This window comes from Homo sapiens, chromosome 12 (genome assembly GCF_000001405.40).
Source record: "Homo sapiens chromosome 12, GRCh38.p14 Primary Assembly".
NCBI lineage: Eukaryota > Metazoa > Chordata > Mammalia > Primates > Hominidae > Homo > Homo sapiens.
The window spans coordinates 80534870-80548125 of record NC_000012.12 but is presented as its reverse complement, the minus strand read 5'-3'; the positions used below and the strand labels follow the sequence as shown (position 1 = coordinate 80548125).

Sequence of the window (13256 nt, the reverse complement as noted above, 5' to 3'; positions counted from 1 at the left end):
CACTTTCTACAAGATTAGCCCTGATTCTTATTGTCCTCATGTACAAATATTATTAAAATATTTTTTTATTTATGGGTTGAACATTTTTATATTCTATCACTCATTCACAACATGCATTTCCTGCAGTCATGTCCACTCTTCACTAGAAGTCAGAAGGCCAATGTTCTAGTTAGGTTCTTCACTAATTTTTTCAAGGTCCTTTTCATCTAATCTAGCTCAATCATGGCTTCTTCATCTGTAACATGGGAATGGGGGCAACAGTAATATTCAGGGGTCATTTACTGTGTGTCCAACACTCTATGAAGTGGGCATTTACTGTGTGTACAACACTCTATAAAGTGCTTTATGTGGATCTTTCCAAATATTTTTGACAACAACATTATGAGATGGCTACTGCTAATATGTGCTTCTTTTCAGTTAAGGTTACAGAGGCTCACAGAGTCATGAGCCTTTGCCAAGATTATACAACTAGTAGGTCATGGGGCTCAAATTCAAATCCAGAAAATGACTTCACAGCATGTACTTTTATCCATTATAAATGCTATTTATTTTGCATTTGTTACAGAAATGCACGAAAAACAGTGTCAGGTAGCCATAAATTTATGCAGAAATGATTAATTTAGTAGTCAGTGGTCTACAATCTCGATTTAAAGATTCACTAACATACCAGGAAGTGCATCCAGAGCTGATAAGAAGAAATGACTAGAACGGGATCTTTTGCTCATTCAATAAACATTGACAGAAGTAAACAAAAAAAAAATTAAGAAGAGGTGCTTTTAAAGGTATGGTGCAGTTGAGAAAAGGAAAAGTACATTTCTAAGCCATCATTAAATAGGTCCCAAATAAAAACTATTCAGTGTGCACACAAAGGCAAGATATGTCATGTATACTACATGTGTGACACAGCAGGTAAGCTGTTGATGAATTAGACCAATGATATTTCAGTGTCCGCCACATGGTAAAGATGGGATGATGGGAACATAGGGGGCTTATGCAATGACTCATGCTCTCCAAATGTCACAACTAATCTTCTTAAAAGAAAATTATAGATATTGTTTCATTAAAAATATAAATCAGCCCGTTAAAAGTGACTGCTAGTTCATTTCCCCCTTTTTCCCCAGCTGTCTCAAAGAGTTCTAAGAATTAGGTAATTTTCACAGATATCTAGAAGGCTATTTTGTTCCCAAACTACTATTTTATTTCAACTTCCTCTGTTCAAAAGGAAAAACCATGTGTGAAAATATATGTATAAACACACATACAGCATATGATTTCACACAAGACCAAGACTAAACGTAAAGCACTGAAATGCAATTTCCCTTTGAGTAGACTCTTAAGTAATGATACTTTATCATATAAACTAAGAAAAGGAAAAGAAAGGTGTTAAATATAAAAAGAAACATTTTAGGCTCAAAAACTGTATCTAACCTGATTCTTGGGTTGTGAATTTTACTACATTACTAAATTGATTGCCATTTCCAACTTTGGTGAACGCAGATACACGGATAGAGTAGGTGCTGACTGGTTCCAGTCCAACAAGTTTGGCTTCAGTTTTAAATCCTGATATATTCTGAAAAACAGAAAAAAAGTTATTAGTTAATGCACTGTCAAAAAATTGTTCATCAATGGAATATTTTCATTGAAGTTATTCCTTTTATATTTAACCTATAGTTTAATAAGCATGGATATTTTAAATTATAATAAAACAAATATTAGCATTTATTTTGTGCCATAGAGTGTGCTCAGTTTATGATACAAGGATGAATTGGGCACCTTCTTTTCCCTGAAGAACCTCATAATTGCCTTTTTTAGACTTTTTTTTTTTCTTGACAGAGTCTCATTTTGTTGCCCAGGTTGGAGTGCAGTGGGAGGTGGACTCCCAGGTTCAAGCCATTCTCCCTGCCTCAGCCTCCCAAGTAGCTGGGATTACAGGCATGTGCCACCACACCCAGCTAATATTTGTAGTTTTTAGTAGAGACAGAGTTTAGCCATGTTGGCCAGGCTGGTCTTGAACTCCTGACCTGAGGTGATCTGCCCACCTCGGCCTCCCAAAGTGCTGGGATTACAGGCGTGAGCCACTGCACCTGGCGTATAATTGCCTTTTTAAAAAACTAGAGTGTTTTATTTTCATGATTTTTACTTGGAATTATATACTCATTTTTTTTAATTTGCATAATTACAGTCTGCAATTTAAATCCAACTTGTGCATGGTCAGAGATACTTGAGTTTTCTGAACTCATCTAAATTCATTTTTAATACCCACAGCATTCCTGTGTAAATTTATTTATTCTTCAGCTACTGTATGTAGACACTGGCAAAACAGTAATAAATAATAATAACATTATTATATATAATAATAATAAATTATTATTATTTTAAAATAATAATTTTAAAATATCTGCTTCCATGAAGCTTAAATTGGGAGTTTTCCCAGCCGATTCCTCTATTTCTAATTTGACACTGTTTTTAGAGATATGAGAAAAGGAACAAAAGAGTATCATAGTTGCCCAAGGAGGAATACGCTTTCTCATAGAAAAAAATTATCATTAAGTACAAAGTTTTCATTCAAAGATAATTGTCCTAACCAAGAAAGCAGCTAAGATTAATCAGCTATCCTCATGGAAAGAGAAGATAATCTCCTATGTGATATAAATGTAGGAATCTTACATTATATCTGACAAAATATAAACCATGTTGATCATTTATCAAACATCACAGTAACAGAAATTTTAACAAGAATATTAATTCTTGGGGAATTTACAATTAGAATCCTATTTTAAAATAATCTCTAGAAATTCACTGAATTTAGGGGCTTACTGAATCTCTTTATTTCAGTCATTCTTTCCTGCTTACTATTTACAAAACATGCCATTAGATAATCTGGAGATTATAGACACATGTAAGGCATGGTCCCTGCCATCAAGGAATTTTTATATTAACTAGAGAAATCTACAATTTCTGAATGAGAAAAAATTAAACACAAAACAAGCAAATTATGATTTTGGTTAGGAAGGGCTAAAAACCAGAGAAACAACTGAACCCAAGAGGGCATAATAATAAGAGAATAGTTTATGGGATAGTGAACAGATTTACACAAGAATATGTTGTCAAAAAGAGAAACATGAGTGATGAATACTTACAAACATATTTTAATAGAACTTTGTACTAAATAAATAATTTCTTTCAGTATGTGTGAGTGACCTAAGTCACCTATTGATTTTATTATCTGTGGACCACAGTGGATTGACTGGGATAGCAGTAACATTTGAAGTGGTTCAAGCATTATTCTACCTCCACAAATGCACACATAATTTAAAAGAAGAAAAAGAATAGAAAAACAGAGAAAATAATATAAATTGATACTGTCAGGATATCAGGGTAGATGAAAGAGAAAGGAAAATAGAACACACTAGGAGAGAAAGCGAAATAGAAAAAGGAAAGCAGATATAGTAACTAGATGCCAAGACAGGGAAAAAGATGGCATGAGAGTACATTTAAAGGAATTTGAAAGCAAATAAGATTATGAAAATTGATGAAAGAGAAAATAGATGTAAAAAGGAGTAACATGACGCAGTAGATTTTAAAACACAAAACTACTGCCCATCCCAAATGATGTATTGAATACTTAATGGTATAAAGATGGTATTTTTGCTACTTCTGAAATATTAAAGATGTGCTTCTATTGAGAAAACCTGTTTACAAATCTTAGAATACAAGTTATTCTCATGTTCACATAATGGCATATTGTCATTTCATGCTTAGTGCTATTACAATGTTGGACAGTTTTTTTGTTCTTTTAAAAACTGTGTACAATTACAGCAACAATAGCTAACATATTTATCACATGCTTGGAATTGTTCAAAATGCTCTATGGAGACTTTCCTTTTTAATCCTCAATTTCGAATGTACACATCTTTGTAACTCCCATTTTGCATTAAGAGGTAAGCAATGTCCCTACTGAAGCACAGTAAGTCTCAAAGGCAGAATCTGAGCCAGGTAATTTGGAGTCAGAGCCCTTGCTTCACCGCTATGCTAAGAGAGCCTATGTTACAGATCACCATTCTGAGGAGACAAGATCCATATATAGACAACCACACTCTAACACACGTACACAATTATCCTAGGAATGCGATTACTCTGAGAAAATGATTCTTTTTTCCTTTTGATATCTATCTCCCAGTGACCCATACAGACAAAGCAAATAAAAAATGGAATAATGTTAAGATTAAACCAGGGATAGATATTAAAGGGCAAGAGGCTTCATGTCATTTAATGTTATTTCACACCTCTGGGAAACAAATTTCACATTTATGGAGTAATAGGATTCAAATTATACTCAGACTATCAAGTTTTAAAGTAATATCTTGGTTTCCAGAAAGAAAGTCATTGTTCCCGATGACATAAAGTTAATGCCTGCTTTTGACTTTTACTATTCAATTTGTAAACTACATATGCTATAACAATGATTTACCATAGTCATAAATTGTAATACTCATAATATTGAGTAAAATATTTACTGCAGATTTTTTGCACTCTTCTTGCTGTAAACTAAATAAGAACATTCCAGGACTTCATTTGCCTTTGGGGAAAAAAATAAGAAACTTTTCTTAAATAAATGCTTGTTAATTACATTTTGGCAATTAAATGCTAGAAATCACAGACATATATTTGAGACTCTTTGTTGCATCAGTTCTGTGGATATTTTTCACTAATTCTGAATTCCAAAAATGGAGGAGGGAAAATGTGGTTAGTGTTGCAAATGAATTACTCTTGAAAATAAAAAAAAAATAAGGATATATCGTAAAAGACCAATTAGTGTAGGATCATATGCTATCTGGAAAGATGACCAGAAGTCCAGAATAAAGATGAATACCTTTCTAAAAGGTTAAAAAGATTCCCTTGGTGCTGCTGTTAACAATAGATAGAAATACATTTTATATTTGTAAGTCAGGAAAAAAGTACTATACACTTTCCAGCATTAACAAAATGATGCAACTGTTTCTTAAATTGTAGATATCTGGAAGTTACAAATCTAAGTACATTGCTCTATGAAGTATTCAGCTTATATATCTGTCAAACGCTTGCTTGTGTTTTCCATAAGCATCCTTAAATTGTAGGAAATAAAGAAGTTTAAAAAAATAGTCATTGTTTAATTTAGTAGTCCATTTTCCTCCTATATGTCAAAAGATTTTAATTCAATTTCTGATTTTTAAAAATAAACATATACTGTTATAATCAACCTACCTTATAATATATAGTGTCAGTTTCATGTTCATGAATTTTAAAACTATATACTTTAACAATACCACCTGGAAGAGGACTTGGGCTCCATTTCAGCCATACAAAGTCTGAAGTACAGTTGATTAAAGTCAAATTTTGTGGAGGTGCTAACGGCACTGTAGGAAAACACATGAAGAAACTTACATTCATAAAACTTTTAACATAAAAATAGCACCGTGACTTACTTTCTTGAAGACACTAGTTTAAAAAGATTTATAAAATGATCATATTTAAATTTCAGAAACAAATATCATAATTAATTATAATTTGTATTTGGACAGAGTAGTTCCAAAGTAGCTTTAAACAGAACAGGAAATTCTGAAGCTCAAATTGCAAAAAAAAATCAACAAAGTAAATATAATGGTAAGGCTGTTACAAATAGACAATCAGATATCCTTTCATATTCCATGCTGTTCCTTAAAAAGAGAGAGCAGGCGCTGCAACAGTGAAATTGTTTGAAGAAATGTGGATTCTGGCTTACCTGACTCATCTGTGTAAAAGAAAAGAATACTGGAAGGACCAAGTCCTTTTCTAGTTCTTGCGGCAGCAAAAAAGCTATATAATGTAAATGGTGAAAGCTCTTCCAATATTATGTAATTATCAGAAGTAATGAAAGAATAATTTTCATTTGGTCCTTGTAAAGTTAAATCATAACTTATTATTGCACCATTTGGCTTTACTGGGGGATCCCATGATAAGAGAACTGAGGTAGAGGAAAGGTTTTTAAAAGTGTTGATTATTGGTGAAGTTTCTGGGACTATAAAAGAAAAAGAGAATATTAAATGAAACAAAAGTGAATCAGCATTAAAAAAAGAGGATTCAATCATAATGGGATTTGATTTTCTTAGCAGATTATTTTAAGAAACACTGTGTTTATTGAAAGGCTAATTACTTGAGATCAAACAGAATCAATATAATTGAAGACTATTTCCTATCAGAAAGCAATGTAAATGAAAAGAACAACAATCTGCTTAACAGACAATAAAAGGGTCTAGCCTACCATCTTCTTCAGTCTTGATGTATAGCTGGGCAGTATAGGTATCAGAGAATCCCTTTTCTGTTGATGGAGTAATTTTTAATATATAATCAGTGTATTTTTCCAGATTATCAAAATATATGCTTCTCTCATATGTAACAAGAGGTGGTCTCACATGGCGAGGAGTCTGCTGTAAGATCAGTGAAACATAGTAGAAGACTAGACCGTTTGGTTGAGCCGGTGGGACCCAGCTTACATTTATTGCAGTTGACGAAATGGATTCGTAAGTCAGGTTTCCAACAAACCCTTCAGGTACTATGATAGGTAATGGGCAAAATACAAAAATCATCAGTTACCCTAAACAGAATCTAAATTCACAAACTGAGTATAATTGTTGAAATGGCAACTATTACATCATCAGCTCTTAAATTATTTAAATGCAGATGTGGCAAACATTCACCTATTATAAAATATCTTCTAAATAATTATTTTAAAAATCATTCAAAATAAACTCTGTCATCTTTAATATGTATGGGAATTGTTTCTATAATATTCTCTTGACTCTTCTTTCCTACTATGTGGAGATTGTGTGTGTGTGCGTGTGTGTGCATAATATGTGTATGTATACTGCCTTATTTAAATATTTTGATAATTTATGTTATTTAAACCATCTTTTTAGCTTATTTCTTCTAAATATTACCCTTGTTGTACATATGAGGAAACTAAAGCTCAGCCATTAAGTTACTTCTCCAAGGTCATGTGGGTAGCCAGAAGAATCAATACTAAAAGCTTTCCCAAGATCTAGTCTCAAAATCTCTCCAGTCACCAGACTACCAACTCACATTTGTACATTACAAAGTTACTCTACTTACACACAAGTTCCAATTCTCAGATATAAGTTGTATTGTGATATTAAACTCTATTAACGTAAATTTGACATCCACCTGGAGTAGTGCATAGTAAGTGCTTATTATCCATGGTGTGGAAATTATAAGTGATAAAATGTCATAGGTTGGCAAAAATCCTGGGAGAGATCTGCATTTAAAGAATGCCTGAAATGGTATTGATCATATATTACAATATAACATTTTTGCTAAAGACTCCCCAAATACATATTTCCCCACATTTATCATTTATTTTTATGTTGACCAACTTGTCAACAATTCAAAAGACTGTTCCAACAACAAATCAAGCATTCACTTCTCATGCTTAAGGAATCTGTCAATTTATGGCTTTCAGATAATAAACATGGAGTTTTACTCCAGAAGTTTAGGTCACTGCCACTTCTCAATAAGGGATTAATCTTTGAAAATAAGCAAATGGATGACAGAAACAACTACAAGAAAAATAGGCAATGATCCACTTATCACTGTATTCTGAAAATTGAAACATAAAAAACATCAAGATCTTCAATCATTATAGTTTTCTGAATACTCGGGATAAATAGGATTCTTCAGAAGATGCATACGAGAAACTTCTGGAGTTAAGGAAAATACTCTGGATATATTAGTCACAAACACAGTGAGAAGAGATGTGCTGCAGAGTCCTGTGTAGATTCAAAGTCTGAAAAGAAAACAAGTTGCTAGAGATTTTTTAAGTCCTTAAGGAAAATGAATAAATAAATTAACTACTGGAAAATTCATCCATGTATGCAGTACTTTTTGTGCCCATAACTGGATGGCCACGACATCTTTTGAAGCAATAAAAAGAACAGAATTTTCATGAACGGATGTTAGCAGTTTTCTTGAACAGAAGAGGCTATTACTGCAATAGTTTTGTAAGTATATTAATTGCATTTTCAAACTCCTATAATGAACGTGTCTAAATAAAAGATGTTATTACAAATTCAAACAAATAGTAAAATTTCCTAAAATAATAAGTTTTAAATTAATCATATTAAAGATTAGTGTTTTTTGTTTACATACTGTCTTGATCTGTGTATACTTCAATGATGTCACTGCTTTTATTCCCATTTCCAACTGAAGTACTTGCTGTTAACCAAAATGTATAGTAGCTGAATATTGTCAGTTTATCTATAATTGTGGATACAGTCATATTGTCAAAGTCATTGGTTACTTCATGGAGTGTAAAATTCTGAAAAATAAACACATTCATTGTTCAGAATGTATTTTTTTAGTATGCATGAACACTTCAAACTAATTGTTATCAATGGATCGATTTTACTATTTATCATTATTTTAATATGTTGTTTTAGGAAAATCGACATAGAACATTTTTTATTGCAACAATTAAACTGGAAATATGTTTGTACTAAAAGAGAAATAGATGGTGGTTTTTATTGCAAAGCCAATACAAAAAAATAGCAAAGAATAAAAACTCCAAGCCAACAATGAAGAATGTCAAGTGGCCAAATGGAAATGCTACAACTGTGCTGATCAGCATCACTTTCCTTATAAAAACATTCAAGTAATTTTCAAAGCATCAGCTAATTTTAAACAAGTTTGGGAGTATTAGAAAACTTTTAATTGTGTTTCTTTCCATTTGTGATGAAGGAATTTCGAATGTGTTTGCCTGTTTCTATGAACTCAAATCGCTATTATTATTCACATTTAGTGGGCTTTCAGACTTTCACATTTCTTTTCAGACTTTACTTCTCACAGTTGTAGCAAAGGGATAGCAGACTGATGTACTCTCTGATGTGTAGAGTAAGAGAAAGTTTTAAATTCTCTTGACTGACTCCTAGTTGCATTTTTCCCCAAGGCTTAAAAAAAAGTATTAGGGTATGTATGTAATCATTTTCTTTCCTATCAAATTTTAAAAATAAAACATATAGCCAAATAAAATTAATTCTAAAATAAAAGGAGACTTAAACACATAGCTAATCAGTATGAATAATTTTATAATTTCCATCTGCAGAGTAACCTGAATCATTCCAATCCACATGAAGCCATTTAAGTCCTATAGACCTGCATTCAAATTCTGTCAGGGTATCCTGGATAAATCATTTAATCTCAAAGCTTTTCTTCCTTCAACTGTAAAATGGAAATAATCATCTCCACTTCACAGACAACTTGTGAGGATTAGATGACATGAAGCACAAAAAGCCATTAATACCATGTCTAGCACACAATTAAAAAAAAACAGTAATTAGTTTCATTTAAATGAATAACATAGGATAAGCAAATTTACCAAATTTATAGTAAGAATGGTTCTGAAATTTATCAACAAATTAAATTAGCAAAATTTTATGGTTCTTTTGCCAGTATTCAGGGAAAAATATAGTGCAATAAAAGATTTACTACAATTTTGTGGTGATTTACATAGAAATAGACAAGTTAAAGTAATATAGCAATCTCACACAAAATATGATCCATGAACTTTAATACCTTCCAATACATCTACTTTACACATGGAACAACTGGCTTATATAAAGCACCACTTAAAAGTATTAACATAGCTTTTTGATGTAAATTTTAATTTTTGTTATAGAATTTATTCTGATTACCTATGACCTTGATGGCTAATACATAACAAATTATCTGAATCACCCAGAAGTCATTCCTGCTGACTGTGTGACTTAATGTGCATAGGCATGTAACAAATTTGTAACATTAAATCAATTATCCAGATGATTATTTTATTCAGCTGTTTATTTTTGCAAAAACAAAATGTCTTTTGGCACAAATTATCTAAGTAAGGCTTATTCTTTTGTTTATATAAATATAGTCAGAAGGTATTTAGTAAAACTTTTTCAAATTTGACCAACCAACTAATATTCATTTAACACTTTTTTTTTCTTTAAAACAGAGTCTCACTCTGTTGCCCAGGCTAGAGGGCAGTGGCACGATCTCGGCTCACTGCAACCTCCACCTCCCAGGTTCACACCATTCTCCTGCCTCAGCCTCCTGAGTACCTGGGACTACAGGAGCCTGCCACCATGCCCGGCTAATTTTTTGTATTTTTAGTAGAGACAGGGTTTCACCTTGTTAGCCAGGATGGTCTCGATCTCCTGACCTCGTGATCCACCTGCTTCAGCCTCCCAAAGTGCTGGGATTACAGGCGTGAGCCACCACACCCGGCCCATTTAACACTTTTTAAAATAGAAGACATTATGCCAGGCACACTAAGGAAACATAAGTGGGTAAAACTTAAAAAGTAGAAAAGTTAATATGCTGTACAAAATACAATGTGCAACAACTGAAGGAAGAACAATATGGATTGCCAAGTAGTAGCAAAGAGGTTAAATTCTCCAAGATAAGAAAAAGGAAAGATGGCTTCGCTACATACTCAAGGGCTCCAAAATTATGACTATGTACTAAAAGTGATGTTGGTCTACTATAATATTTTTTAAATCTTTCAATTAAAATATGTATTGAGCATTAAACCTATGTCTGACATAGTTGCAGAAGACTTTTGGAGATGAAAAAATAAATATTACACAATTCTTTTTCTACAAGATGCTTGTCATGGCATAAGGGAACTAAGAGAAGCAACAGTTATCGGTAATAGGAGGCAGAACATGATATGCCATGCATGACATATTCTACAAAGTTCTGTAGGAAGGGGAAAGATGATAAGGAACAAATAAAAAGGTATACACTTATTCTGCTACATAATTTTCATTTTGAGGCTTTCTTCCACTAATTCAAAATAGAAAATTAGGTAGTGAAGGTATTGATGCTATTTTTAACATTAACTTTAGGAATAAGTTAAAGCACGGATAAACTTCAAGCAATATGAGACTATACTTCTGAAATATTTTAACATCATTAGCCTGTGCCCTCTTGCAGCTGTCACACTTAAAAGCATTCTTAAGATTATTTAATAAAAGATAACATGTTCTAAGGCAGATGAATTGCAAATTAGATCATATTACACACCCAGGTGTGAATAAGTAGGTTTAGAAGATCACGTTGGAACCATAGTTTGATACTTATGCTATATTATTTAGATATGGACAAAGAGAACCAAAATATAAATCACATAGAAGCCATAAGTAAATTGTACAGAGACAAAATGATTGCTAAAATTTAGAACTACTGGAACAATTGTGCAATGTTTTTTAAATGCATAAAAGAAGGAAAATCTCCAATTTGCATATCTTCTATGGGTATAATGACATATTGTTACAATTGTAAACAACATTTTGGTTAAAAAATAAATTGCCTCTCTAGGCCCCATTTCTCTTCCCTACAGAGAACAAAACAAAAAGCAAAAACTGCGTGACATAGAGAGTAGAAAACTAGACCTTCCTTTCTCCTTCTGCTCTTAAGGCATTTGTTCAAAAATGTTGATTTACGATTACATCTGTAACTATATCTACATGTCTTTCATTACAGCTATAATTATATCTACATGTCTTTTATAAAGTAGTTTTCTCTTTGCATCAAGTTTTAAATAGACAGACTTATACAACCCTACTCTTATAGAACAGAATATAAACACTAAACCACCTTCTGGACTTTGTCTTTCTCCCTGCTAGGTTAGTCCTGAGATAGCTTGCAAGTTCTGCTCTTGCCCTCTTCATTAGCCTACATTGCACTATAGCTGCACTAAAGTCTTAATTACAGAGGCTGTTACTCAGTAGAGCTAACTAGTGACTAAACTTGGGCTGTCAGTCACAAATGGGATTAGGTAACTCAGAATTTGTAAGACTTATCTTTCTTCTTCTTTTACTTAAAAGGATAGAAATAATTAAGAATCACCTAAGACACAAACATGTGGTCAATAATTTCTACCACTAAGGGATGTATTCTGTACATTGCAGCATTTCTTCTAAATTCGTGTTTTTCTTTTTCTTTTGAGATGGAGTCTCGCTCTCTCGCCCAGGCTGGAGTGCAGTGGCGGGATCTCAGCTCACTGCAAGCTCCGCCTCCCGGGTTGACGCCATTCTCCTGCCTCAGCCTCCCCAGTAGCTGGGACTACAGGCGCCTGCCACGACGCCTGGCTAATTTTTTGTATTTTTAGTAGAGACGGGGTTTCACCGTGTTAGCCAGGATGATCTCGATCTCCTGACCTTGTGATCCGCCCGCCTCGGCCTCCCAAAGTGCTGGGATTACAGGCGTGAGCCACCACGCCCGGCCGTGTTTTTCTAATTATATTCCAGCTCTCTGCATCTTTGATTCAATCATAATCATTCCAATTATCCTTTTTATATGTTAGAGTTCTGTGAAACATCTAATTTGAAGAAATAATATAATTCTGTTGAAAATTGAAAATATTTTTTCAAAGTAAATGCATGTTAGCTATTTTCATAGCCATCATCATTCACATCCTAGAGAGTGCCCATCTACAAACTGTGCAAGCCTAGAATCTTATCTATGACAAATTAATTAAACACATTCCGAGTGGTCTTCATTTCATCTGACATTAAACATTAACTACTAATATACTATTATTATAATAACCCTTCCTGCTATCAAAAACTTTTTTTAATTAAAGAAAAACAAACACATCCAAACACTAGAACTATTTATATCATATACAAACAAATGAAAAAAAATTTAGCTAATAAATAACTTTGAGGATAAATGATACCATCAGCACTTTAGAGAACACTTATTGGAGGAAGTGTAATTGAGGGCCATCTTTATAAACAGAATTTTCAGTAGGTGGCAGATTCACTATTTTTAATACATGTGAAGCTTATATAGAAGTTGTATGTGTGTGTGTGTGTGTGTGTCTGTAAAGAGAGATTAAATGTATCTGACATTTCTACACCGCATTTTTCTATGTCAATGGGAGTTTTATAAAATACATCTGTGCCTAATTATCAATGTAAGGTAAACAATTTCTTTTACTGTGACAAGTCTGTATTATTAATAAAACTTAAGGATGTTAATAAAGAACTAGAAGAAAATTCAGTTCTTACCTGCATAAAAGTACCTGAAGTATTTCTGTAATAAACAGAGTAATATTGTATAATCCCATTAGGTTTTGAAGGAGGTGTCCAGAAAAGAATTATTGATGAAGAACTGAGGTTTGCATAATAAACATCTTTGGGAGGATCGCTTGGTGCTATAAAACAAATAATTGAACA

General features: G+C 32.8%; 1 protein-coding gene and 1 long non-coding RNA gene across 2 annotated transcripts in view; one reads left to right on the top strand and one right to left on the bottom strand.

Moving 5' to 3' along the window:
* Window positions 1-13256, bottom strand: part of PTPRQ (protein tyrosine phosphatase receptor type Q) — a 236039-nt gene that overhangs the window by 132148 nt on the left and 90635 nt on the right. Inside the window, exons 19-24 of the mRNA NM_001145026.2 lie at window positions 13089-13234; window positions 8182-8350; window positions 6281-6571; window positions 5762-6037; window positions 5245-5396; window positions 1429-1570 (exon numbers count right to left, since the gene is read on the bottom strand). Of these exons, the coding sequence (NP_001138498.1) occupies window positions 1429-1570; window positions 5245-5396; window positions 5762-6037; window positions 6281-6571; window positions 8182-8350; window positions 13089-13234 (1176 nt within the window). The remainder of the gene's footprint in view (window positions 1-1428; window positions 1571-5244; window positions 5397-5761; window positions 6038-6280; window positions 6572-8181; window positions 8351-13088; window positions 13235-13256) is intronic.
* LOC105369867 (uncharacterized) overlaps window positions 1-13256 on the top strand; it is a 176665-nt gene that overhangs the window by 159113 nt on the left and 4296 nt on the right. The window lies entirely within an intron of this gene.